Below are 27,196 nucleotides of genomic sequence, written 5' to 3'. Positions count from 1 at the left end.
CGTGCAGGGGAAGGGGCGGGCGCAGGCTGCGGGGTCGGCACGGAAGATGCACGCGAGGCTCCTGGGGCTCTCGGCCCTGCTGCAGGCGGCCGAGCAGAGCGCGCGTGAGTGCGGCAGCCCGAGGCTGTGCTCACCCCTGCAGCCCCTAACCCCACCCCGGCGCCGGGAGCCGCACAGGCTGCCTATGCCCGGGCGGGCACTGCCCCAGCCTGCGCCCAGCACTGCGCGCCGGTGACGCACGGTGGTGGCCATCCCACCTGCAGAGCACGTCCTCCCGTCCTTAGTAGATGCCCACGCATGCACCATCCCCCCAAGGATGCATGATTTTCCTCCACCCATGCTCGGTTCCCCCCCCTCCCGACTGGTGCTTGACTTCCTCCCGCCCATGCACGATCCCCCCGCCCCACGCATGCAAGATCCCCTCGCAGAAGCAGGGGAGATGTATCCGCCCTTCCTTCCATCACAAGCTTTGCAAAGTGCTGCGATGCCAAGATGTGCTGAGCGCAAGTCTGGGGGCGCCCGGGCTCTCCCCCGACCCCCGGCCGTCCAGGGGGACCCTGCGACTTGGAGGCCGCTCGCAGAAGGGGTGGCGGGGGGAGGGGGACAGGGCTCCGCATCCACGCGGCCCTGTAGGACGGCGACTCCGCTTCGGGGTTTAGGACGGGGCGGGACGCGGCCCTTCGAGGCCACCTCCGTCGCAGGGGGAACCCAGAGCCCGCCAGCCGCGGCGGAGCAAGATGGCCCCATTTTTCGCGCCCTTCTGGTTTGAACGCGTAACTCCTTCAGTGCCGGGAGGAGCGTCTCCGCCCACTTCCGCCGGGCTCCCTGCGGAAGCTTTTTCCCGGGCAGAGTCCCTGGGGTGGAAGAGGGGGTACCCTGGGAACGCCGCCTTGGGACTTTTCCCTGAGTTCGCGGGCGTCCCCGCAGGTCCCGCTGCTTCCGAGGCGCGCCGAGCAGGACGCACACGGAGGACGCGCAAGCGCCCTGGCTCCGCGCCCCGGACTGGAAGGGCTGAGACAGGACCTGCGGGGGTCGGCACCCACCCCAGGTGTCCTCCCTTGCCCTCCAGCTGGGCACGGACTGGGTGTCAGCATTCCCCAGCCCTGCAGCACCGAAGGCTTTTCGTGCAAGGGAGGCTGCCGCAGGACGCTCGGGGTGGTGACAGCCGGACCCAGCCTGGGCGCTAAGGGCTGCCTGAGCCCGGACCCCGCGGTCTAGAGCTGCAGCGTCTGCAGCTGTACCTCAGGGCAGTTTTCCCAGTTTCCCTAAAATCCGCGGCTTGTGTTCATTCATCCACTTAGAACTTTACTATTGGAAAACCTAAGTAACAGTTGTGTGAAACGATGCCTGTGTGCGGTGCCTCTACCAGCGCACCGCCTCCAAGATCAGCCTCAGACAACCCTGAGGAGGCCGTGCTAGGAGTATTGGGGAGGCCCAGAGTTCCAGGCCAGGGAGTTCCCCATGTGAAAGTAGGAGAAAAGGGACCCCACAGAGAGAGCTGTGACCCCACAGGGACTAACGGTTTCGTAGTGCGGAGTTACTGACTGCGGAGTGCACATTCTCTCTCCACTGCGTAACCACCATCAAAAACAAACAAGCAAACAAACCAGAGAGGAGGTTTCATCGTTCTCGAGGATGCACAAGATGCTAGGCGCTTCACACATGTCGTATATTGCCCAACAGCTCTGGAAAGCCCTGACAATGTCATTTAGTGAATGCCTGTCCCTGTTGCCAGAGGCTCTGCTGGCTCCCAGCCTGCTCCTAGGAGACTCTTGCTGGTGATGGGGACACTGTGTTGGTTGGTTACTGTTTTGTTTTGTTTTGAGACAAGAGTCTTGCTCTGTGGCCCAGGCTGGAATGCAGTGGCCCAATCTCGACTCACTGCAAACTCCGCCTCCTGAGTTGAAGCCATTCTGGTGCCTCATCCATCCCGAGTAGCTGGTATTACAGGCACGCAGCCAGCAAACTTGCTCATTTTTGTATTTTTAGTAGAGAGGCCCAGACTGGTCTTGAACTCCTGACGTCGAGCAATCTGCCCACCTCGGCCTCCCAAAGTGCTTTGGTTTTGTTTTTAATGAGATAATTAGGTGTGGCCACAAGATGAGACACAGGAGAGACTCTGGAAAGCAAAGTTTGCTGTACTCACAGGTCCTAGGACAGGAGACATGGCACACCATGCCGGGCCACAGGGGAATGTCACCAGGGTGGTCAGGAGGCAGGAGACAGGAACCAGGGGAAGTTGAGGCCAGACGCTTTGCTAGGGCAGAGCACCAGCTTCAGATTAGCCCTTTGAATAATTTCTGTGGCTTTGGGGTATAAGGGTGGTCCCTAGTTTCCTGGCACTGGGCCCTGGGATGATTAAGGCAAAAGAAGATTGCCTTCTGCGGGGGTATGGGCCAGGTAGGGGAGGTCTGGCTCTGGCTAGATTTAGTTCGCATGTCAAAGGCAAGCTCCTGGCTGGGCCCTTTGCTAGCTGAAATAATTGCTAGCCTTGGGAGGGACAGTCACTCCCCAGCCAGAAAGATTTTAAGAGGTCAGAACATCATAACATCCAGAAAATGTTCAGTTGTTTAAAATGCAGGTACCCAGTCTCACTCCAGCCTTCCAACAACCTGCTTGCCTTTCCCCTTCTCACCCAGGCCTTTACACCGTGGCTTACTACTTCACCACAGGACGGCTTCTGTGGGGGTGGCTGGCCCTTGCTGTCCTCCTGCCCGGGTTCTTGGTCCAGGCCCTGAGCTACCTGTGGTTCCGAGCAGACGGGCATCCAGGGCATTGCTCCTTGATGATGCTGCACCTCCTACAGCTTGGTGTTTGGAAGCGGTAAGAACAGCTGCCTCTTTCACCTCTGGAGCACAATTGCACAAGTGCAGTGAGAGGAATCTTCTCTCCATGTGGATTCTGTCCTCAAGCTCATAAAAGTTCAGCATTGGGAAGAGGTTCAAAGCGGCCACAGCAAACCCCTGCTCTGATATTGGCATGCCCGGGTCCAGCCTGCACTTTTTTGAGCATCTCCAACCTCAGGGGCTCTTTCTCTGTGAAGCTGTGACCTTACGAAAGGCTTTTTCTTGTCTTCAGATGAAGCCCTGTCTTGCTGTTTTGATTTGTTGGTTGAGCCGTTAGTTCCATATAAAGCAACTTACTTAAGGCAGTTCCATCTGCACACCTGTCACCTTAGAACAGGAAGGTGGCATAGTTTAGTGAACCACAGACTAGACAATGAAGCCAGCCTGTTGACATTTGCTTCAAGACTTCGTCTCAGGAAAAAGTCATTTGGATGCCAGGGCTAGTTTTTTCTCTAAAGAAGTAGCCAGGGATAGTTCTGGGGCCTGGTGGGCTTATCCGTGATCCATAGACCATCACGACAGGTGAGGGCTGATTTTTTTCTACTTTGAGAACCTGGATTCAAGGAGCTATGAGAAGAGATGTGTCAGTGAGTTTATATCAAGGGCACATTTCAGCTGGCAGCTGCTGCCTCATAATTCCATTGGGTTGTTAGGTTTGTTTTTTTTTTTTTTTTTTTTTGAGATGGAGTCTCACTCTGTCACCCAGGCTGGAGTGCAGTGGTGTGATCTTGGCTCACTGCAACCTCCGCCTCCTGGGTTCAAGCGATTCTCCTGCTTCAGCCTGTTGAGTAGGCGGGACTACAGGCACGTGCCACCATGCCCGGCTAATTTTTTGTATTTTTAGTCGAAACAGGGTTTCACTGGGTTAGCCAGCATCGTCTCGGTCTCCTGACCTCGTGATCCGCCCACCTTGGCCTCCCAAAGTGCTGGGATTACAGGCGTGAGCCACTGCACCTGGCCACAGGATTTTTTTTAAGGGAGAAAAATTCAGGGATCAGAGCGGTGAAGCCCTGCAGCTCAAGTGTTCATTAAATCATAGGCACTGAGGGTTGGAAAGGTGTTCAAGGGGTCGTGGCCAATGCTGCTGTGTGTCCTAGGGGTTTATGCCTGCAAGCTATTCCCAAGACTTTCTCCGGAGGCACTGAAATGAGTGATGAGCCCCACATAGAGCATCACTGTGAGCAGGGAATGGTGCCGTCCCGCCCAGAGTAGAATCTCAGCTAGGAGGTAGAGGGTGCTTCTGAGAAAGACTTCAAGCACCCACTCTCAGTTTCACTGGACCCTCAGAGTTGGACCCTAAACCTCTAACAGCACCGAAAGCATATTTGCAGCCACAGGCATTTTGCCAAAAGCTCGGCCTTGGTGTTCAAGCAGTGCCGTTCCCCTGAAAAGACAGGGCCCTTCCTTCCATGGCGGAGAAGGCAGAGAAGGATCTTTCGGAGGGCCTCATAGGGTCAGAGCCTCTCCTGTGCCCTAGCTGCCATTGTCGTCTCCTTCCCTGATCGGCCCAGCCCAGTAATCAATCCTTAAGGGCTCTGGGTCTTACTTGGCTTTGACCATCACAGTCGTAAGGCATGAGCCCTCGAGGACAGAGGCCTGTTGAGTGAGTCAGCTACCATGAGCCCATGTTTGGCAGCCCAAAGAGAGAGGTAAGCCCAGGTGGTCACTTAGAGAAGCTTCCTGGGTAATGAACGGTTAGACAAATCTGCCTTCTGAGGCTGTGTGGACCCTCAGGCCTCATGGAATCCACTGCCTTCCTCAGAGATGAGGGCTGCCAGGGGACCACGGTGTGTCCAAATTCATGCTGCTGGTATTTCACAGTGGACCCCACACTGTCTTTCCCATGCACTCTTAATTTTCTTAAGTGATGCCATGATTTTCTGGTGTATATAAAAAAACGAACTTGAATAATCTGGTATATACTAGTGAAATCATATAGATAAGTGAAGAGATACATGAAAATTATAAATTAGGAAAAACCATTAGTCATATATATTTATTCTTGTTTTGAAAAAGAAGTTAAGATGACTTTAAAAATACACATCCTTAAAAGAACAAAAAAGAAAAGAAAAGAAATGAGAAAGGCCAGGTATCGAGATGAAATGTTAGAAAACAAGATAGAGCCAGAATGCACAGCTATCGGAAGCGGGTCACAATTTGGCCCTAAGGTTTATAACAGCCAGTGCAAGCATAAAGGCCGCAAGATTTGCAGTGTTTCTCAGGTTAAACATGAACCAAAAAACAGAAATTTACTTCCATAGAGGAAAGCTTTGAAAGTTAAAATAGACAGCAGTGGATCCATTCCTCATCCTGAAACTAGCACATAGGGTTCAAAGACAACACTGAGTGAAGCAGTATTTTTAGTGAGGCAATCCAGCTTTCCAAATTGCAATTCTAGAAAAGGACCTGTAGGGGGAGCCAAAACAATTGCGTTTGGCACAATTTTGAATTGCCTAAGAATAGGTCACTTTGAGTGTCCTCATCACAAAATACAAAAGAATCTGCTAACTGAGAATCCAGTAAAACACAAAGTTGCTTATAAAAATGCAAGGATTGAGGCCTGGCGCGGTGGCTCACGCCTGTAATCCCAGCACTTTGAGAGGCCGAGGCAGGCGGATCACGAGGTCAGGAGATCCAGACCATCCTGGCTAACACGGTGAAACCCCGTCTCTACTAAAAATACAAAAAATTAGCCGGGCGTGGTGGCGGGCGCCTGTAGTCCCAGCTACTTGGGAGGCTGAGGCAGGAGAATGGCATGAACCCGTTAGGCGGAACTTGCAGTGAGCCGAGATTGCATCACTGGACTCCAGCTTGGGTGACAGAGCGAGACTCCGTCTCAAAAAAAAAAAAAAAAAAAAAAAAAAAAAGCAAGAATTTGGCCTGGCGTGACGGCTCACACCTGTAATCTCAGTGCTTTAGGAGGTGGAGGCAGGCTGATCTCTTGAGGCCAGGAGTTCTAAACCAGCCTGGCCAACACTGTCGAAACCCCATCTCCACTAAAAATAGACAAATTAGCCAGGCGTGGTCACGCACACCTGTAATGCCACCTACTCAGGAGACTGAAGCATGAGAATCGCTTGAACCTGGGAAGTAGAGGTTACAGTGAGCTGAGATCACGCCACTGCACTCCAACCTAGGCAACAGAATGAGACTCAATCTCAAATAAATAAATAAATATAAAAAGGCAAGGATTTAAGCCATAAGTGTATTCTTTTTAACGTTCCCAATAATACATACTATGTTCATTTTAAGTCTGACTCTGTTCAAGAGAACCTGACATTGGTGACCACTTATTTAAACAAAGACCATTACTTTCTTCTACTTAGGTTTTTTACTTACACTTTAATACTGTATGTTACCAACATCTTTTTCATCTTTCTTTTTAAGCCCACAAATCCACTTGTAAATGCAGCATGAGATGACAGAAGAAGGCCTATCTCATCCTTAGCATGCACCTTGGTTTAGCAATTTTTCTTTAGTGAAAGTTCAAGGTTGTCAAAAGGAAAGTTAAGGTAAACTCTAAAGGTATGTAAGACAGGTTCAGCATAAATGGGTGGAGATTTAATATTTAAAAGTATATAAAATATAGCCCTAGCCCTGGAGGGCCCAGTCCTGCCTCAGGATCCCTCGAGTGAGGCTTGAAGGCTGTTGCGATTTCCATCAATGTAGGGAGGGAACAGGCGTTTCCGACACAGCAAGCTGCAGCCGCTGGTGCAAAGACATAGATGCGTGCCAGAAGTGGTGTATATGGGAAATTAGGATGAGGTTCTTGAGACTAAAGGGTAAGAATTTCCTAGATGGCAGGAATGTGGCAGGAGATAAATGGGCTGGACCATGAAGAAACTTTTCTACTGGATTAAGGAGTTTGGATTTTATCCTCAGGCATTGGAGACCTGTTGGAAGGGTTTGAGCAAAGGAATAATATGGGCAAATGAGCCTGTAGACAGATGGCACCAGGGACAATAAAATGCAACAGAGTTGGGAGGGACGGGGTCCATGCAGGCAGCCAGAAATCCAGGCAAGTGCTGATAAGGACCTGGAATGATGCAGCGACTGTGAGGACAGATGTCGGACACCATCTCATAGGACCTAGTGACCAAATCCCCACGCTCTCCATCCCGCCTCAGCTTCCTCCCCGGCTTCCCTAGTGGCTGTCCAGGGGTCTCAGCCTGAATTTCTCCCTCTGCAATGGGTTCGAGACAGCTCGTTTCAGAAAACCGGGCTAGTCACCTTCCCACTGGTCCTCTGTTTCTTACAAGAGTAGCCCCACAACTCAGCCTCTCCTGGCCCCCGCCTTACCAAGCACCAGATATTCGCTATTCCCAGACATGGACCTTCATTTCAGTGCCTTGTACCCTGTGCCACTGACCCCAGACACTCCTTTAGGCTCTTCCTACCATCTACCTGTCCAGAGTTTGCCTGTCCTCCTCTTCCAGGAAGCATTCCCTGACCACCTTATTCTCTCTGCCTGTGACTCTGATTCCACCACTACCCAAGCCACTCATGTTGATACTTATATTTCTTCCTCTTGAAGCTTTTCGCATTTGTATGTTTTCTTTCCACACTGAATCTTAGGTTTCTAAAAGACATCTTTCATTTCACTTCCCCCCTTTTCTTTTTTTTCACGAGAGTCTTCTGCCTCTGTCACCCAGGCTGGAGTGCAGTGGCATAATTATGGCTCACTTGCAGCCTTGAACTTCTGGGCTCAAGTGATCCTCCCATCTCAGCCTCCTGAGTAGCTGGGACTACAGGCACCCACCACTATCCCAGCTCTTTGTTTTGTTTTGTTTTGTAGACATGGAGTCTCATTATGTTGCCAGGGCTGGTCTCAAACTCCCAAGCTCAAGCAATCCTCCTGCCTTGGCCTCCCAAAAAGCTGGGATTCATTTCTCTTACTTCGCCTGTGGTCTGTAGCAGGTGGGCCTCTCAAAGCCCAAGAAAAATGCATGTTGAACAAACAAAGCTTTCTGGAAGAGCAAGAAGAGGAAACTACCCCATGTCAGGAACAAATGATTTGAGAGTGAAAAGAAAACTACTGCCTGCCCTCATGGTTACATTTTTTAGTGTCATATGTTTTTCTTAACATTAAGTTTATGTCAGGAATCAAGACACAGTAAGAAATGGGTTCACTCCAGGATTCCAAATCATGAAAAAGGAAAGTTGTTTTTCTTAGACATCTGTCCTGGGATCTCAGCACCATGAATAAAGCCATTTCAAAGAGGAGTCCCCGAATCTTCTGCTCTGGACATAGAAATGTTTGCCACCCATCAGGGTCCAGCTTGTCACCTGCCAGTCAGAGCCTTAGGGGTCTCTACAGGGAGTTTTGCAGGTGACCTTCGAGATGCATCCAGCTTGGCTTCAGGAGTTGCTAAATTGAAGTGACCTCTAGTTCTTAAATTGAACAAGACAGGGAAGCAGAATCCAGTGGGTTTGCTGGGCAGCAGGCTCGTGTGCAGGCGGCTGTGGTCATCTCCTTATTGCTGCTGCTAGGTAGACCCAGAGAGGAATTGGTGGGTGGTGGCGAAATCTGACCTCCAGGTGAGACTCGAAGCCTGAGAGCCCGCTGGTGTGGTGGGGAGTGGCTTCGTGGTCATGGGTTCTATGTGGATCTTCAGGTTGTAAGGAAGGTGGTCTGTGCCACTTTCTACTTATGAGATGAAGTTTCCAGTAAAGGTGCCTGGCATAGGCTCATGGGAAACAGACTGAAGCAAGGACATGTTCTGACTTCTTTCTTGTTGCTTGATTCCTTTTCCGAGAGCCTCGGAGGACCACCCAGGCTGGGTGAGCAGATGTGTCCCCGTGGCCCTGGGCCACCCCATCCTGTAATCCACAGTGCAGAGATCAGCAGCTCTCTCCGCTGCCTGGTTCTCGGCTTCCACCCACCCTTGCTGGTGTCCCTTTCGTATCCAGGCCCCTTAGTGGGAACAGTCCCCAGGGTGCTGTCCTTGGTCTATGCTGTCTTCACACAGTCTCTTCTGGCCACTTCCAGTCCCTCAACCACAACTGGTCATCCAGATCTCTCCTTATGGGGGCTCCACCCATCCTCACATTCCTCACTGCTGAAGAAATTCATATCGTGGCCAATCCAGCACTCCTCACCTGGCTTATTTCCGTCGGTAGCACCACCATTTCCAAGTCATTTAGGCCTGAAACCTCAAAGCCACTGCAACTTCCCTCATCTCCCCTGTTCAGTCATCAAATCCTGATCTCCAACTCCACTATTTCCTGCACCTGCTCCCTACTTTCCATTCCTAGGACTCCCTTCACCAATTACTGCTGGAAGTATTCTATTAGCTCTGTTTCCTCCTGATGTTCCTATCCCCTGTTCATACACCCACACTACATGCGTGCACACACACACACTCACACTGCACACACTACAGATACACACTGCACACATACATGAATATACACACATATACCTTCATGCACACACATATATAAACATACACACTATATATATGCAAGCACATAATGCCTATATACATATGCATATGTTTTGCACACTTGCACACACACATGCATACATGCACATGCAGATACATACACACACACACAAGCACATGTACACCACATGTGTGTTCACCCATATACACGCACATGCACATACACATACATAGACACACAAATCCATACACATTCATCTCATACCCCAGACAGTACATATTACCTCTGCCAAATTCATTTTTCCAGAGCAAAATCCAAACCCCATAGCCTGAAGTTCAGGGCCCTGATCTACTTCACCGGGACCACATCAGCCTCCAAGCTCCGCATGGTGCTCCAGCCACCTGGACCTCTGGCCACTCCCCAGCAAAGCCTCCAGATCCTTCTTCCCTGTCTGCTCTTCATGTGCCCCAGTTTTCGCAGCACAGAGTTCTACATTCTGTGAGGATGAAGACAAGGGTTTTTTCTACTTTTTGTCCTTCAAAGAGATGATAACACACAGTACCTTGCAACAGACATCTGTCGATAAATGAATTCCCATCCCAAGAGGATCCGGGGTGGGACTCAGGTCGGGGTGATTGCCGAGCTTCACAGAGCTGGCAGTCTGGGTTCCCTTGCCATGCAGCCGCTCCAGCTCAAAGAGCCCCCAGGTCAGGTACTGGGGTACCAGACGTGGGGAGAGTGTGGCCTGGCTGAGCACCACAGGACTCGGGGAACTTACATAGAAGTGACGTCTTCTGCTTGCAGTCAGAGGCTGGCAACAGCCTAACTAGTAACTCTAGGTGACTAGTAAGGGCATAGGATATTGCTTAGCATGTAGTATGTCTCTAAATGAAAGCTCGTCCTATTGAATCTCGCCACAGCCTGGCTCCGTGTCACGTGCCCTCTGCTGTTCCCTAGGCACTGGGACGCTGCACTGACCAGTCTGCAGAAGGAACTGGAGGCTCCCCACCGAGGCTGGCTGCAGCTGCAGGAGGCCGACCTGTCGGCCCTTCGACTCTTGGAGGCCCTGCTGCAGACTGGGCCCCACCTGCTGCTTCAGACATATGTTTTTCTAGCCTCAGACTTCACAGATATTGTGCCAGGTGAGTAACTGTCACCACAGAGCACAGACTGTCTGACTGCCGAAGGGGGACAGGAATGTGAGCCTGTTTAGCAAAACCCTCCCTTCGAGATTTCCTCTGCTTAGGAGCATTAGGGCACCTTGAGCTCACTGGCACAGATGATGCTTAAAACTGGCTTTTGCTGGTGCATTGAGTTTACAGAGAGTTGGCTCCCTTCTTTCTTAAGGGTCATGTTCTAAAGTCAGCCCATAAGATAGAAATTGCCCATAATCAAAATTATCCTCAAAATGCCTTGGAAAGACTGCCTCTCCATAAACTCACTGCACATGTTTTTCTTGTGTCTTTAATCATTAGAATAATTCTTGGCCGGGCACAAGTCTCACACCTGTAGTCCCAGCACTTTGGGAAGCTGAGGTGGGTGGATTGCTTGAGCCCAGGAGCTCAAGACCAGCCAGGCAAAAACCCATCTCTACCAAAAAATACAAAAATTAGCCAGGCATGGTGGCATGCAGTTGCAGTGCCAGCTATTCAAGAGGCTGAGGTGGTAGCATCACTTGAGGCCAGGAGTTTGAGGCTGCAGTGAGTCATGATTGCATCACTGCATTCCAGTCCAGGTGACAGAGTGAGACCCTGTCTCAAAATAATAATAATAATAATAATTCTTAACAAAGCCAGAGGCTTATACCTTCAAAGCCATGTGGAAACTGAGAACAACTCAGGCCCCAGCAACATTTGTCTCCAGCTCCCACTCATTTCAGGCCATTCACATTCTCATTATGTCTCTCCCTGTTTCTCTCAGTTGCTTCTTGTTTCCCTCTCCCTCTCCCTCCTGCTATCCCCTTTTCTCCCCTCCCCTTCACCCCCTTCTCTCCCTCCCCACCTCTCCCCTTCCATCTTCATCTCTCCCTTCCTCTTTGCTGAGTGTCCACAATTGCATATGCACAAATTAAATGCTTCACATATATGCCTGCACTGTCCTTCCATCCATCTTTATCAAAGAGCCTGACACCATTTGATGTTTTCGTTCTTTTATTAAACCTCCTTCATATGGATAAAACAGCAAAGTACATTTGGGGTGGAACCATGTTCAGAGCCTTGTAGAATCAGCTTTGTTATATACAGAGGACTTAGAGGATCAGGAGCTGGGACGTTTTTCTTAAAGGGCGTAGAAAGGAAGAGTCCAGCCCATTTGCTGGGAAGAGCATTTAGTACATTGAGCAGTGGAAATATTTCCTGCATATCCCCATTTCTTCCTGAATATAGACAGGTGTATTTGGACATAGAGTTGTTATGTTACCTACTGGTCAAAGTGGTGGGTTAGTAATACTCTCTGTGCAGCCAGGCTTTAACAAGAGGTTACACATCCCATTAAAGAAATGCCATGAGTGAATCTTCACAAGGTACTGTTACTTCGGAATCTTCAGAGCATACCACATCTTTCTGCTTCCCTTTCAGGGGTGAGCACCCTGTTTTCCTGGTCCTCACTCTCCTGGGCACTGGTGTCCTACACTCGCTTCATGGGCTTCATGAAGCCAGGCCACCTGGCCATGCCATGGGCCGCCCTCTTCTGCCAGCAGCTCTGGAGGATGGGCATGTTGGGAACCCGCGTGCTGAGTCTGGTTCTGTTCTACAAAGCCTACCACTTTTGGGTTTTTGTGGTTGCAGGTGAGCTGAGCTAATGATCTGGTCATCTGTTGCTGCATAACCAATCAACCCAGAAATGAAGGTCTCAAGAATAACCACATATGATCCTCAATCCCAGGCCTGAAGGCTGACTGGGCTCTCTGCTGAATGGATCTTGCTTGGGTGGCCTCAGAGATGGCAATGGGGTAGCAGATGTTCAGATTCATAAAGAGCCTTGACAGGAATTAGCAGCTGAGAATTGCAATGGCAAGGAACTGGAAACTGCTAGTCTTCTATAAAAACAGGCTCAGAACTGGCTCAGCATTGCTTCTGCTGTATTCTGCCAGTCAAAGCAAGCACAACCAGCCCAGATTCAAGAGCATGGAGGACTAGACTGCAGCTCCCGATGAGTACACATCCAGGGCAGGAAGGAACGCGTGCTGGCTGTCTTGGGAGATACTCTGCCATAGCTTAGACATCCCAGCCCTCAACACTCCCAGCTAAATCTGGAGCAGAGAACTTCTCAGGAGACTGTTCTGTGTTACAGGCCAAAATCTTTTATGTAGAAAAACTGTCACTGAAACAGGAGGGAGGTACAAGGTCCCACTTGCCTCACCTGATATAAAAATATACAGTCTATATGTCATACTGCACATAGCTTCCAAAAGTGCACCATTTCCTTTGAATGCTGAATCTTGGACATCTCCTCTGTTGCAAATAGGACAGCTCCACTAAATCCAAGCCCTCCCTCCTCCCTCAGTCTAGGCACACGCAATATGAATGGCAATGACAGAGAGTCTATCTGGCTCTGGAGATTCCCTGAATAGGGCCTGTGTGTCCCTGCCGAGGAGAGCTGTCATCTCTGGTCATCAGTGAATATACTCTGCAAGAAGGAACAGTTTACTCTTGTTTTAAGAGAATTGGAGACATTAAGAAATATTTGCCCCTTGGGCCTAGAGCAAACATTGAATACAGTTATTGGCCAAAAAGATAATTTTTTTGAAAAAAAGAACTGTGCTTCTAAAGAGAGATTAGCTATTTTGTTATTCTTTTTTTAAAAAAAATCAGCTTGAAATCCAAAATGATTTATTCGTCTTAAAATATGGGCATAAAAATTAAAGCTGCACCACATAGAGTTCTTTCCTTTGCATGTGGAGGTTTTTTGCTCTTGTAACAATTTTAAAATAATTGGCAGTCAGTTTTATAACTGCCCCTTTAAACACTTTCTGGAATAAAAAGGTCATAGGTATACAATATTTGGCAAGTGTTATTGAAGCTACTCTTTCTTGTGTCATATTCAAATTAGGTCAGATACCCTTTATAAGGATAAAATGGGATAATACATGCAAAGATAAACTGTGTTGGTTTTCTGTCCCCCTCAAATCTCTTCTGGGTTTTGATATCTCTTCTTGGATGCTGAGTCAAATGTGGTCGGAGAGCCTTCCAGCCCCTGGTCTCTGTGTCCTTGCCTGTCCCCCCATCTCCTTGCATGGACCCTGACGTCTGCACCCGGCTTCTCTGCAGGTGCCCACTGGCTGGTGATGACATTCTGGCTTGTCGCCCAGCAGAGTGACATCATCGACAGCACCTGCCACTGGAGGCTGTTCAACCTGCTCGTGGGGGCCGTGTACATCCTCTGCTACCTCAGCTTCTGGGACAGCCCTTCTAGAAATAGGATGGTCACGTTCTACATGGCAAGTGGCACTTTTCTTTATCCTAACTTTTACAGTGTATACAGCAAGTGGGGTGTGTGTGGGTGTGTGTGGGGGGTGTGTGTGTGTGTGCACCAATGCACACCTATCTATTGAAAAGGAATAGCTTAGTTTAAGAAAAATTCTTAAAGAAATGATAGTCTTGAACAGAGATGACAGGCTTTGAAAATAGTAACCCAACCTCCAGCTGTGGCCCTGCATTCAATGTGGCAACAACTGAGGCATATTTGGTGATGTCTTCTCTACATCAGCCCACCTGCTGAATATCATTACAGTTCAACTGTATAATATCATATACTCAATGTCTCTGTTAATCAACTCCATTTTTATTAGGGGTTTATGAATAAGATCCAGGCATGGCCCTAGAGAGTATCAGAAACACAAAAGTGGCCTAATACTTCTTCAGATTGCTTTGAGTCCCGTAGAGATTTCTTCATATTTGAAGAACTTATAATATTTGGTAAGTAAGTAGACACCCAAATAACCAAAATCAGACAGAACGTAGCTAGATGCCAGGAGAGAAAAAAATGTCTGGGACTCATAGGAGTAGCTGCCAGCATCACCTCTCGTCAGGATGACCACAGACACTTTTGGCAGGACAGTGGAGGTTGAGCTGGATTATAATGGGCAAAGGAGAGAAAATACAATCACATTGGTGGGGCATGGGTTTTAGAGTCAGAAAAAACTTGCACTGGAGCCCAGCTCTGCTGACTGCTACCACCAGCTGGCTTCAGCCAAGAATTTAAACTGTCTGAACCTACTTTTTCATGCACACGCTAGGAATAAGTCACCCCCCTCTCAGTGTTCCTGTGAAGATTAAATAAGATCTACATACTCTTCAGGGTTCCTGTAAAGACCAAATAAAATAATATACATAAGTAGCTGGCACAAAATAACCCATAAATTGTGGCCATTATTCATATGAAAAGGAGAGACTTCTGTGGGAGGAGTCAGGCATTCCAGGGTAGAGACCTGGGTGAAGGTAAAGGCAGGATGCAGCTCCTGTCCAGGAAAGGGAAGCGTCCTAGACACCTGCTGATTTTAGGACCCATATAGCACAGTGACCCCACAGGCTATAGAGCCAGGCAGAGCTCACAGGACTTGCAATGTTGGACACATTACTGAGCCTCACCAACCTCAGCGTCCACATCTGAACACCGAGCATAACAGCGTGCGTGTTGTAGATAGGTTCACTTGTGGCAGGGCCCAGGTCATGCATGAGCAGCCTCCCAACCAACATGATCCCCAAGTGAACAAAGAAGTGGAATATTGATTTTCTCATCCAATTTGCTGAAGTGGCTTATTCATAGGTGGACACCCCGCCTGCCAATGCCCAGATAAGCAGGAGCTCAATAAGGAGGAGTTTGACACCTGCCACCTTGTTTGCTTGCATTTGTCACACTCACATGTCAGTTGCCGTGTCATCTCCCAGGAGTTTGAGGGCTGTTAGAGAAGGAAAGAAAGCAAATCCTTCATTCTTCCCAACCATCTCATACAGTCACTAGATCACTGAGTCAAGAGCGATTAAATAGGAAAAGCAGAAATCAGACACCATTACATTTGGAGTGAGATCTACCACAGTGGCACGAGTGTCCTTATCTCTCTCGCTGTGCACAGACCCATCCAGGCCGGGCAGTCCTAGCCCGGGGGCTTGGATCCCTACAGCATGTGATGGGGAACATGGGCTTTAGGCCTTGCTGCCCGACCAGCTAAGGCTTGATACCAGGATCCTTCGGTTCTGAACTGTATGAGAGTCACCGGGGCTCCCCCTGCCCCCACACCCAGTTTTTGCATCTCTGAAATGGTTGTTGCTAGGATTGATAAGGTGATGGATAGAAAGCCAAGAGCCTGGTGCCTGGCACAGGTAGATAGATGTAGATGCTCTGAAAGATAAATAAATAATTTACAATAAATGAAACAGACATCGGGGGCAAGAGAGCAGAGAAAGAAGGAAAGGAGGAAGGAAGGAAGGAAGGAGGGAGGGAAGGAAGGAAGGAAAGGAAGGTAGGGAAGAGGAAGGAAGGTAGGGAAGAGGAAGGAAGTGGAGGGTAAAGATAGCCAATATCACCATAAAGAGGTGAAATAACACATAACTCCGAGGATAACCTATTAAACTCCTGACATTTCAAGAGTGCCTGCCAGTCACATTCTGAGGTGGGGCTGCAACCATGAAACTGAAGAAAAGGCGGAGATGACAGGTGGACATGCTCACCTCGCACTTCACCATGCACACTGCCCAGACCTGAGTCTGGGCCCCTCCCTGTGCCAGGCAGTGCTGGGCAGCCCTGGCTCCGTGGCACGGGCCATTCAGAGTGTGAGGCAGCCTCTCCCACTGTTCCTCAACACCCCCAGCTAAACTCCATTGATCCAATGTGGCTGAGTGGCCAGCACCTGAAACCAGTGCCTCTGGGCAGGTTAGAAATGCCCAGACTGTGATCTTGGAAGCCTGAGGCCACAGTGCAGTGGACAGACTGGGGCGCCACTCCCTGAGATGTGCACCCTGCTGGCACAGACCCGTGCTGCCATCCGAAAGCATTACCTTCTGCGGAGGGTGCCGGGACCCACGCAGCCCCAGCCCTCGAGACAGCAGCTCACACAGGAAAGAGGCTGCCAGACCCCAGGCCCTGGATGGGCCCCAGAAGAAGCTGCAATTCCTGTCTGGAAGCCCCAGACTTGGGCAGCGTAGCCCAGGGCCAACCCAAGCATCGCTCAGCTATGTTGAGCCTATTCCTGGGCCACTGGAGAGTGTACCACCCCCACATCCCTTCAAGAAGGAACATAAGGTGTTTTGTATTTGCTTTTGTTTTTCTGAGACAGAGCTTGCCCTGTTGCCCAGGCTGGAATGCAGCAGTGTGATCACAGCTCACTGCAGCCTCGACTTTCTAGGCTCAAGTGATCCTCCCACCTCAGCCTCCCGAGTCACTGGGATCACGGGTGCATACCACCATACCTGGTTAATTTTTATACTTTTTCGTAGGGCCTTTAACCAACAGGCCACCGCCTGGCAGTGGTTCAGAGGTTTCTGCTGGAACGGTCTGGCAGGGGCTGGGGGCTGGGGGCCTCCAGTGCAGCTGGGCCTCAGCCCTGCTGGTTGTCAGTGGCACTCAGGGGAGCTTTTATAAAGTGGCGATTCCCAGGCTCCCCCTCAGAGATTCTGTCTCAGTAGGTGTGACTGCAACCTGGGAATCCACGTCTGGAGACAGCCACAGGTGACACTATGACTGGCCTAGCTCAGGATCTACTCAACTGTCCTCACCTCCTGCTCAGAGGCGGAAGCCTGCCTGTTGATCACTTCTGAATGTAATATAAGACCCCGTCTCACTTCTTTCACCCGTTATGGGTTTATTCACATCAGCACACATTGAGCTTCCTCCTGTGCTGAAAATGGAGTTAGACACCACAGTGTGAGAGGGTCATGTCTCAGTGCCACAAAGACATAAGCAAATCCATGCAGCCACTGTGATCAGAGAAGTGACGCTATCAAAACCCTACAGGACACAAGAGGCAGAGCTTGGGAAAGTCAGGGAAGGGTTTACAGAGGGGACCTGCACGATGTGCTATGTGGTGAGCAAGGTTCACCTGAAGAAAAGGTGTGGACGGCGCTAGAACGTTTCAGGCAAAGCTGCGGAAGTAATGGAAAGACCCTGGAGTGTCTGGAAATCCACAGGAAAGTGAGTGCGCACAGCGTCCGAGGGAAAAAAAGCCCTGCGCTAGTTAAAAGCAATGAAAACAGATTGCACTGAGTGTATCGCCATAGGGAAGAGCCCTGCATGAACTGAACCCACCTTCAAGTTGTGCAGAGGTGACAGGGCTTAAAAGGGAGAAAAAGGGAGGAAGGAGGAGGAACATCCGGGGGCTTGGCCAGAGACAGGGAAGTGGAAATTTACAAAAAGCAGGAAAGTGGGATCGTAAATGTGAGTGTGCCATCTGTGTTTGTTCATTGGCGCTTGTCACTTGCTGGGAGCAGAAACAAATTTCTCATTTCTTTATGACAGGAGGCAGGAGTCAGTCCTGTTAGGGCAATGCACCCACCAGGCTTGGAGTTTGTATTTGAATAGATGGCTCTTGGGTACTTGAGGAGACAGTTCTGGGTAATAGAGGATGTATATCTCAGAGCGCAGCGAAATGATTTGCAACTGCAAGCTTTCTAAAGGAACTGCTCGGAAAGGAAGTCCAGGGTCCTATCCACCCAGCACCAAGTTTTGGCTGGAACAAACAGTACCTTCTCCTGGCAGCACTGCGCTTTCTCAGGCAGGAACTTAAAGGAGACTGAGGTCAGCATCGTAGGGGTGAGGCCTTGAGCTGCTGGAAACTCGGTCAGTGTTTGTTCAAGTCTCTCGGTGTGGGGAGGTAAGGGGAATCATATGTGCTGAGTCTGGAGTTCTCGTTGGCCAGGGTTGAAGACTCATGGAAAAGAAGGCTCAGAGAAGGCTGACTGGAGTTTGGTTGAGGAAAGACTGTTTGTCAGTGGAATGTCGTTTGGGAAGAGCATGCTGGAAGATGACCCCAGAAAGGAAAACTTGCGCTAAGTGGCAAACAGGACCATCTGCTCTGTTGAGAAGTAGGGACTGGATCCTGAAGTTAAGGTGGGGCTGTTTCAAGGTGCATCGGGGAGGAATGGCAAGATGCAATCTCTGGGTGAAGTGGGTCACCCTGACATTGGTGTGGAGGAGAGATTTCAGAGAGAGAATGAAGATAGGGGTTGCCTAGACAGGAGGCATGGGGCCAGAACCACGGAAATGGCGGGAAAGACAGGAGGCAGGTGACGGAGTTGGGACAAACTTAAGAATCTGAACCACCAGAACCACACAGCTGAGGAGTGGGGAGAGAAAGATGCCTTCTGTACTGGCTGCTGGCCAAGGCATTTAGGGCAGAAACCCTGCCCATTGCACACAGAGGGACTGGGAGAATGGATGTTCATAGGATTACGAAGCAGCTCCTCATAATTTTTTTTATTTCTCTCCTTATTTGAATTTTTGAGAGTGAAAAACGAAGCCAATGAATAACCTGGCAAATCTTTTGAAGAGTTTTAGCAAATCAGTATATAATTTAAGTGTTATTTTTAAATAAATAAAATACACAGTATTTAATATAAATATATATTAAATATATTAAAATATATATTAATTATATTTTAATTAAATAAAATTAAATTATTTTTAATTAAATTAAATAATTATTTAATTAAATAAAAATAAATTAAAATATATATTAAATATAAAACACACAGTATTTAAATATATCGTCTTTGAATTATGTCATTTGTTTACTTATTTTAATGAAGACGTATCTTTTTATATTTAAAAATTGGAAAGCAAAGTTAATAAGCTGACCCAGATGGGCGTACAAAGAGCCTTCTGGACCATCTGCCATTTTGACCAGCTGCAGCCACGGGGCCAGGCTCCTTTGTCAGCCTGCGAGCTCCCGTCTCCGGCTGCCACCTGGTGGCCGCAAAGCAATTATTTTAAGGAAACAAAATCCTAAAGTTGTTAGAAAGTTTGTGACCCTAGCTCCCTGGAATTCAGTGGCATCATGAGCTCTGCAGCTATCTTTCATTTTAACACTAATGAGTGCCTGCAGTTAGTGTGAGGATGGAGAAATATGCAAAGTAGAAAATAAAAGTCCCCTCTCAGCCCATAATGACTCTCTAAAGGCAGCCCCACAGCCATTTGAGGGATGCCCTTACATTTCCTGGGCCTTTATGATTCTGCAGACACTTTAATGAGCCACCCTGAGAACAGGGTGGCTCTCTCTTTGCCAGAGAAGGTCTCAGTGGGACATAGCCCTGCTCCTGGGTACTCCTCAGCAGCCTGGAGTCTCCAGTGGGCACTCAGGATGGAGGGGAGGGGGAGCCGCTGCAGACTCACGGGACGGGGGTCCCTAGGCAGTGTGCACCTGACGAGGTGTGGTGCCTCTGTCCTGGGTCCCGCAGGTCATGCTGTTGGAGAACATCATCCTGTTGCTGTTGGCCACCGACTTTCTCCAGGGGGCATCGTGGACCAGCCTGCAGACCATAGCTGGGGTCCTGTCTGGATTTCTGATTGGTAAGTCCCAATGTCACCTTCTTCTCTGCATCCCCTCCCCAACGTATTTTTTTTTTTTACAATGGGCTCAAAGGGTAGGAAACTGAGTTCAGATGTGGTTAACTGGAGACCAAGGAACCAGGCTCACTGCGATGTGGGGGGCAGAGCCATGCCCATCAGAGCATGAGATACTGAGCTCAGCCTCATCTGCCTTGCTTGACTGTGCTCGGAACCTCAAGCAAAGCTGGGGCTATCCCTCTCTACCCCAAAGCCCCCGTCCTCCCCGGAGCTTCCTGCAGGGTTGAGGACGTGACTTCTCTCTCCCCTCCCACCTAGGGGAGCTCCTCACATCTTCCTGACATGGCACCCCCTGCAGCCCATAGACAAGCACCCCGGGAAGTGGGTGCCCTAGCAGAGGAGGAGAGGAAGGTGAGGCACAGAGGAGGTTGAGTCCCCGAAAGATCCAATGGTTTGTAACAGATAGAGCTGAGATTCAAGCCCAGCTCCAGTGCAGGCCTGAGCACAGGCCTGGCACTGTCATCAGCCGTGTTTTATGAATGCATGGCCCCAAGGTCTGTGTCACACCCACGGTGATGACCTCGCTTCCCAGATTGGCATGAGTTCCGCAGGGATTCCGCCCCCCACTTGAAAGGTGCGAACACCAGCCTCCTCTCCCAGCACAGCAGGCTTCCACCACTGTCACTCTCAGGCCTGCGGTGGGACCGTCAAAGCCAGCACCTGCACCTCTCACGTGGGGCCTCGTGCTTCTGCAACATGGGCCAGGACAGAGATTCCCCAGTCCTCTGCAACAACTCCTGCCCTCCCTCCAGAGCCTGCTCTCTGTCACCCACACCCTGAAGAGGTGCCTGGAAGTGGCCTCGGGTTCTTTTCTTGCTCACAGCAGCCGGGGGTTGGATGTGGCCTGTGTGAGTGGCCTGGACCTGGGAAAGGAATGACCTGGACACAAACACTTAGTGAGATGCAGGGGCTGTTCACGGGTCAGAGAAATGTCACACACTGTGGCTTCGTAACAAGCATTTGAGAGCCACAGGCCACCCTGGGTTTCAGCTCTGTTCTTCTTCATGAGACGTCACGGGTCCTCACTTCTTCCAGCTTCAGGTAGCTGAGACAACCCCTTCTTTTTCAAATCAAACTTTTTAGATAATTGTAGTTTTAAGAAATAATACAGAGCTCCCCGTACCCATTACCAGGTTTTCCCCCAGTGGTAATATCTCGCAAAACGGTGGCACAACATCACAGCCAGGATCTCAAAGTAGTACGTCGAGGTGCAGGGAGAACCCTTCCATCACCACGAGGACCCTTCATGTGGCCCCCTTCCTCTCGCCCCTGCCACCTCCTTCCCTCCTGGCAACCATTATTCTGTTCTCTGTTTCTATTATTCTATCACTTGGAGAATGCGTTGTGAAAGTACCACACAGTGTGTGCACCCTGGGGATCGGTCTTGTTCACTTGGCAGAGCTCTCCGGAGAGCCTCCCGGGTTGCTCCTTGCTTTTGATGGCTGAGTCGCATCCCATGGTTTGGACGGACCACAGCTTGTTTCATCGTCGACCCATGGACGGGCATCTGGTTCATCCTTTTTAAAATAATCATTTGAATCGCAGAGCATTGATTTCTAAGCTGTGTGTGTGGATAAATGGCCTATGGGAAACTGAGGACATCGCGCTGCCCGGGTGAGAAGCACCACTCTCACCACATTGCATCGTGGTCTGGGTGTTCCTGGCATATTTCAAGCAATCCTTCCTTCAGGGAGGGGCCATGTGATACTTGGAATGAAGGGGCCTTGCCGGCCGGGAGGTCTAACAACTCATCTGGATTTTCCAGTTCACGGGAGGTATAGCTGAGTCCTGGGGGCAGTGTGGTGGGAGGGAAAATGTCCCCTCATCTACTTTCTGGATTTTAACACTGACTCAGAAAAGATGTCCTACACCACTCCGAAAACCTGTCACACTCCTGAGAGTGGATGCCTGGTTTCCTTCCAGTTCCACTCCAGTGAGAAGACATTTTCACAGCCAGTATGCTGGCCCACGGCACAGCTGGAGGGCAGTGAGTAGGGAGTCCATAGCCACGGGCAGTGAGTAGGGAGCCCATAGCCACGGGCAGCACTCAGCACCCAGGTGGCCACCGGCTCAGAGCCTTGTCTGCCGCTCCTCCTCCGGCCTCTGATGGAGCTGCCAAACCCCTGACTCCCAGCCGACCCTTGGGAATCCTAGGCAGGAAGATTGAACCCAAATTGTAGTCCAAGGAGCACAAGCTTGCATCCAGGCTCCTCCCCTTTTCCTTCCATCCTGGGACCAATATTCACTGAGTACCAACTGCGTGCCAGCCTGGGGATGCCACCAAGAACCCTCAAACCACATGGCCTCTGGAAAGATTGTGTTCACTGAATAAGTGTGCCCAGGACTTCTGTGATCAGGGGCCTTTGTTCATCTTTCCTGGCCTTGGGTGGCTGCTTGTAAAAGAAGGGTGACAATATGTCCCTCACCAGGCAATTGTGAGAATTCAAAACAGTGCAGAAACTGGCTGAGCAGGACCTACTGCAGAGGTGGCACTGAACATGGAGAAAGTCCACCTCCCTTTCCAAGGTTGGAGCCTGGCCACTAACCAGCTGCTTGATCTGGGTCTCCCAGTCCCCCAAGACACAAGAGAGGATTTGGGGCTGGGGATGTCCTTCAGGCAGTCTTTCTAGCTCTGTCATGCTGCAATCTCCTGGCCTTCTCAGGCATTACTTCAGGTTTTGTGCTGTTTATAATGAGCACCCTGAAACCAGGCACTTTATCCAGTACAACAGGAAACTGGAAATAACGTGGGAGGCTTACTGGAATGCTCTGTTAAAGAAATTATTGCAGCAGTCAACACTTCTGATCAAAATAAATTAAACTGACAACAATGTGATTAAGATGTTTATGCACAAAGGAAGTGTTGTTGTTGTTCATGGAAATTCCTTGATATGGGGTTTTTGATGAATCTGATTAACCTCTGTTTAGGTCTTACTTGTTTTTGAGGTTATTTCTTAATGCCCTCCCTTCCCCCAGCTTTGTAACCCATCAACCACTGTATTGACAGTCGAATTTGCAGTGTATGGTCCAGTTACTTGAAAGTAGAATGCTTATTTCTGCCAAACATTTTGTACCTGTGTGTACACACGCACACACACATGCATGAATGCACACTCACACACACACACGTAGATGACTGAACTGGAGCTGCCCTCAAGACAAAAGCATAGAATCAATCGGATTTAAGCCTTGTTATTCATGTTTAACTTTAGAAACATTTACAGCTTACAGAAGCTGGAACCTACTTAAATTCCCCCGAAATATCCAGTTCTGAGGCTCCAACAAGAGTCCTATTTTGGATCCCAAATTATCTTCCTCTACACAAAAGGGCCAGAACCTGAAACTGCACACCAGAGGGAGGATGCAGACTTCAAAGAACATAACCTTGTGGTCTTTTTGTTCTTTTTCAGGCAGTGTCTCACTGGTAATTTATTACAGCCTGCTGCATCCAAAATCCACAGACATCTGGCAGGGCTGCCTAAGGAAGTCCTGTGGCATTGCAGGAGGTGATAAAACAGAGAGAAGAGATTCTCCCCGGGCCACAGATCTAGCTGGGAAGAGAACCGAGAGCTCAGGCTCATGCCAAGGGGCAAGTTATGAACCAACCATTTTAGGGAAGCCCCCTACCCCTGAGCAGGTCCCCCCAGAGGCTGGGCTGGGGACCCAGGTTGCTGTGGAGGACTCTTTCCTCAGTCATCACCACTGGCTGTGGGTGAAACTTGCCCTAAAAACAGGAAATGTGTCTAAGATCAATGCCGCCTTTGGAGATAACAGTCCTGCCTATTGTCCACCTGCATGGGGGTTGAGTCAACAGGACTACCTGCAGAGAAAGGCCTTGTCTGCCCAGCAAGAGCTCCCATCCTCATCCCGTGACCCCTCAACCTTAGAGAACAGCTCTGCGTTTGAAGGTGTCCCTAAAGCAGAGGCCGACCCATTGGAAACCTCAAGTTACGTATCTTTTGCCAGCGATCAGCAGGATGAAGCACCTACCCAGAACCCAGCAGCCACGCAGGGGGAGGGCACCCCAAAGGAAGGAGCTGACGCTGTTTCTGGGACACAGGGGAAGGGGACAGGTGGGCAGCAGAGAGGAGGGGAAGGACAGCAGAGTTCCACGTTGTACTTCAGCGCCACTGCAGAAGTGGCCACATCCTCACAACAAGAAGGCAGCCCAGCTACTCTGCAAACGGCCCACTCTGGAAGGAGGCTGGGAAAGAGCAGCCCTGCCCAGCCTGCATCGCCCCACCCAGTGGGCTTGGCGCCCTTCCCCGACACCATGGCCGACATTAGCCCCATCCTAGGCACAGGCCCATGTAGAGGCTTCTGCCCCAGTGCAGGCTTCCCTGGAAGAACCCTCAGTATCTCAGAGCTAGAGGAGCCGCTGGAGCCCAAAAGGGAGCTAAGTCACCATGCAGCTGTTGGTGTGTGGGTGTCATTGCCACAGCTGAGGACTGCCCATGAGCCCTGCCTCACGTCCACCCCTAAGTCTGAGTCTATCCAAACGGACTGCAGCTGCAGGGAACAGATGAAGCAAGAGCCGAGTTTTTTCATCTGACCACAGTCATGGTGGGATAAGACAACAGGCTGACAAACCAAGCTGGCCATTTGGTACCGTGAGAAAGGAAATCCCACTTCTGACACCTGTGTCCTTGGGCACATCACTGTCACCTCTGAATCTCCATCTGCATCCCTGAAAAATGAAGAAACAGGGCTGGATGATTTTGCAGGTCCAATGCAAACATCACAGACCCCACCCATGCATAGGAGAGACTCTAACATACTTTAGAGGAGGAGAAAGAGATTCCAGTCAAAATTGTCTGCTACCTTTTATGAGCTGTAGGTTCCCTTATTTTATCTTTTTGCTGTGGCTTCTAGGAAACACAAAGGTAAAACCCAGATTCCTATTTTATTTGAGGTTCTTGTTACAATTAGCTTTGCCTCACATTTAGCGGTTATGAATCTCATTTTAATATATTCTAACTGTATTATGTTATGAAATCTCTTGGTAAGATAATTTGCATGCTTTCTGGGAGTAGGTAAGGCCTGTGTGCTTGTAATAACTAACATAACTGAAAGTGCAAATGTCATTCTAAGATTCCCATATCTTTTGGTTAGGGGACAATATTAGAGCTTTTAAAAAGGAAGGGTAGACTCACTTAGCTCAGCCTCACCCATGCTAAGGGCACATGCACACATTTTCTGCAATTCACTCTCAGACCATCAGCATCCTCCTGGCCAGCTGCATAAATGTATTTTTCTGTGAAATGTGCTGCTCCCCTTTGTGCAGGCTGGCCAGCCAAGAGTTCCCTTCCAGCTCCCACTGCTGCTTTCCACCCCATCTCCTTTATGTCCAAGCTTTGTTCCCACTTCCATTCAATGTGAGACACTATCCATGATTTAAGCCCATCCAAAAAGAAGGGAGGAAACGTCCATTCCTCTCGCACTCTCCTTCTCTCTGACTCCTCCACTCTAAAGTGTTCTTTGTGGCTAGGTATTTCCATAATTTCTTTAAGCCTTCCTTTGTAGCTGATTAAGGAAGTCTAGTCATAAACTATCAAAGAGAAAGGCACACAGAGAGCTGGATGCTATTTAGGGATGGGTATTTTTGTTTTGTTTTGTTTCATTTCATTTGTTTATTTGTTGAGACAGGGCCTCTCTGTCACCCAGGCTGGAGTGCAGTGGCATGATCATGGCTCACTGCAGCCTCAACCTCCAGGGCTTAAGCAATCCTCTCACCTCAGCCTCTCGAGTAGCTGGGACTACTGGCAGGTGGGCACCATGCCTGGCTACTTTTTTGTATTTTTTGTAGAGACAGGTTCTTGCCAGGTGGCTCAGGCTGGTCTCCAACTCCTGAGCTCAAGCGATCTGCCCATCTCGGCCTCCCAAAGTGCTGGGATTACAGGCGTGAGCCACCGTGCCCAGCCAGAATGGGTAGTTTTTATTCTCTCCAAACACTTTTGGATTAGGGTACAATATTAGAGCTCTAAAAAGGAATAGTAGAATAACTTAGCTCAGCCTGACACATACTAAGGGCACCTGCAGACACTTTCTGCAATAAGCTCTCAGACCATCAGCATCCTCCTGGCCAGCCACATAAGCCAATCGGGGATGCAGACAAGTGGCTACAAACTTTCCATACAACAGGTGAAGATAACGAGACTTTGGGTCGGATGCAGGGGCTCACACCGGTAATCCCAGCACTTTGAGAGGCTGAGGCGGGAAGATCACTTGAGGCCAGAAGTTCGAGACCAGCCTGGGCAATGTAGTGAGACCCCATCACTACTAAAAATACATAAATTATCCTGGTGTGGTGGCACACACCTGTAGTCCCAGCTGCTCGAGAGGCTGAGGCACGAGAATCAGTTGAACTGGGAGGCAGAGGTTGCAGTGAGCTGAGATCGTACCATGGCACTCCAGCCTGGGCGACAGAGCAAGACTCTATCTAAAAAAAAAGCTTGTTAATAGAACAAAATCATTCATAGTTCCATTCACTGTGCTATCCCAGCATCTCAGTCCTTCCTCCATGCAGTCTCTCGCCCAGCCAGGTGAGAGCATGAGCACTTCCCTGAGTCCTCACCAGCCCTCCCCATTTGTCCTCCAAGACTCCACTCAAACATCTCCTCTTGGTGCCTTCCTGGGCCCTCCCCAGCTCCAGCTCTCCCAGACCTACCCTCTGTCCCCAGGTTGTATTCCACTGCCCTTTGCCCTCTGGTGACCTCTTCCTAAACTTGAAGCCCTGCCTCCCTGAAGGCTAATTAAGGGTTGCAGTCCTCCTTCTGGGCTAACTCCAAGGTCCAGCAGAGTGTCCAGCAAAAGTAGGCGTTAGAGCATTCAACAGCATGAATTCACTAACGAGCGGGGCTGTGGGCATGAATTTCAGCTTGAGTGCATATCCTGGATCAACGGCATTTGTGTTATGGGGTAAAAGTAAGGGTGGGATATGGGGAATTTGCTCATTCTTTTCAAACTTTCTAGCCCTTGAATAGCCTGGAAAGCTAGAAATACTCTTCATTCATTCATTCATTTAAGGAATATTAGTTGAGTATGACAGGCACTGAGTATGCAGAAATCAAGGCATGTACTTGCTGTTCGAGGCCCTGTGGACCAACATCGGCTTCTCAGATGGCTTCCTCACTTCATGCCTCCAGAAAGCATATTGCCCGGTGATGAAAAGGATCAGAAAATATACACTATATTTATTAGAGAAGACTAATAAATGGACACTTAATTCAAAAATGCCTGCTGAGCACCTATCAAATGCTAGTCATTAGGATCACAGAGCTACACAGAAGAAATGTGACAGGTGCTCACGGCGTCAGTGGGAGAAGCAGGTGAGAGCTTTATGGAGTCCCCTCTGAGACGGCTGCAGGAACCCACAGAAGGTCAGCTTAACAAGGACATGATTGTCA

General features: G+C 49.6%; 1 protein-coding gene across 2 annotated transcripts, besides 2 other annotated features; it reads left to right on the top strand.

Moving 5' to 3' along the window:
- The first annotated feature begins 15 nt into the window (after positions 1-15).
- On the top strand, positions 16-27,023 carry XKR5 (XK related 5). 2 transcript variants are annotated; one of them, NM_001289973.2, is made up of 8 exons: positions 16-104; positions 2,640-2,823; positions 6,234-6,371; positions 10,191-10,375; positions 11,810-12,019; positions 13,502-13,671; positions 19,622-19,733; positions 23,201-27,023. In NM_001289973.2, the coding sequence occupies exons 5-8, from the start codon at positions 11,872-11,874 to the stop codon at positions 24,340-24,342; spliced, it is 1,572 nt and encodes a 523-aa protein (NP_001276902.1). In that variant the 5' UTR covers positions 16-104; positions 2,640-2,823; positions 6,234-6,371; positions 10,191-10,375; positions 11,810-11,871; the 3' UTR covers positions 24,343-27,023. The 2 variants fall into 2 exon arrangements, with proteins under 2 accessions (NP_001276902.1, NP_997294.3); NM_207411.5 differs by lacking the exon at positions 6,234-6,371.
- Positions 766-1,634: an enhancer, noted in NCBI's record as "H3K27ac-H3K4me1 hESC enhancer chr8:6691428-6692296 (GRCh37/hg19 assembly coordinates)". NCBI's record gives its function as "activates a minimal SCP1, AML or CMV promoter by ChIP-STARR-seq in naive H9 embryonic stem cells {active_cell/tissue: H9 hESC(naive)}" and the evidence as "EXISTENCE:reporter gene assay evidence [ECO:0000049][PMID:30033119]".
- Positions 23,389-23,888: an enhancer, noted in NCBI's record as "H3K4me1 hESC enhancer chr8:6669173-6669672 (GRCh37/hg19 assembly coordinates)". NCBI's record gives its function as "activates a minimal SCP1, AML or CMV promoter by ChIP-STARR-seq in primed H9 embryonic stem cells {active_cell/tissue: H9 hESC(primed)}" and the evidence as "EXISTENCE:reporter gene assay evidence [ECO:0000049][PMID:30033119]".
- Positions 27,024-27,196: the final 173 nt, after the last annotated feature.

This window comes from Homo sapiens, chromosome 8, assembly GCF_000001405.40.
Source record: "Homo sapiens chromosome 8, GRCh38.p14 Primary Assembly".
NCBI classification, from domain to species: Eukaryota; Metazoa; Chordata; class Mammalia; order Primates; family Hominidae; genus Homo; species Homo sapiens.
Note: the sequence above shows the minus strand (reverse complement) of the source record. Positions and strands in the feature narration are given on the sequence as shown.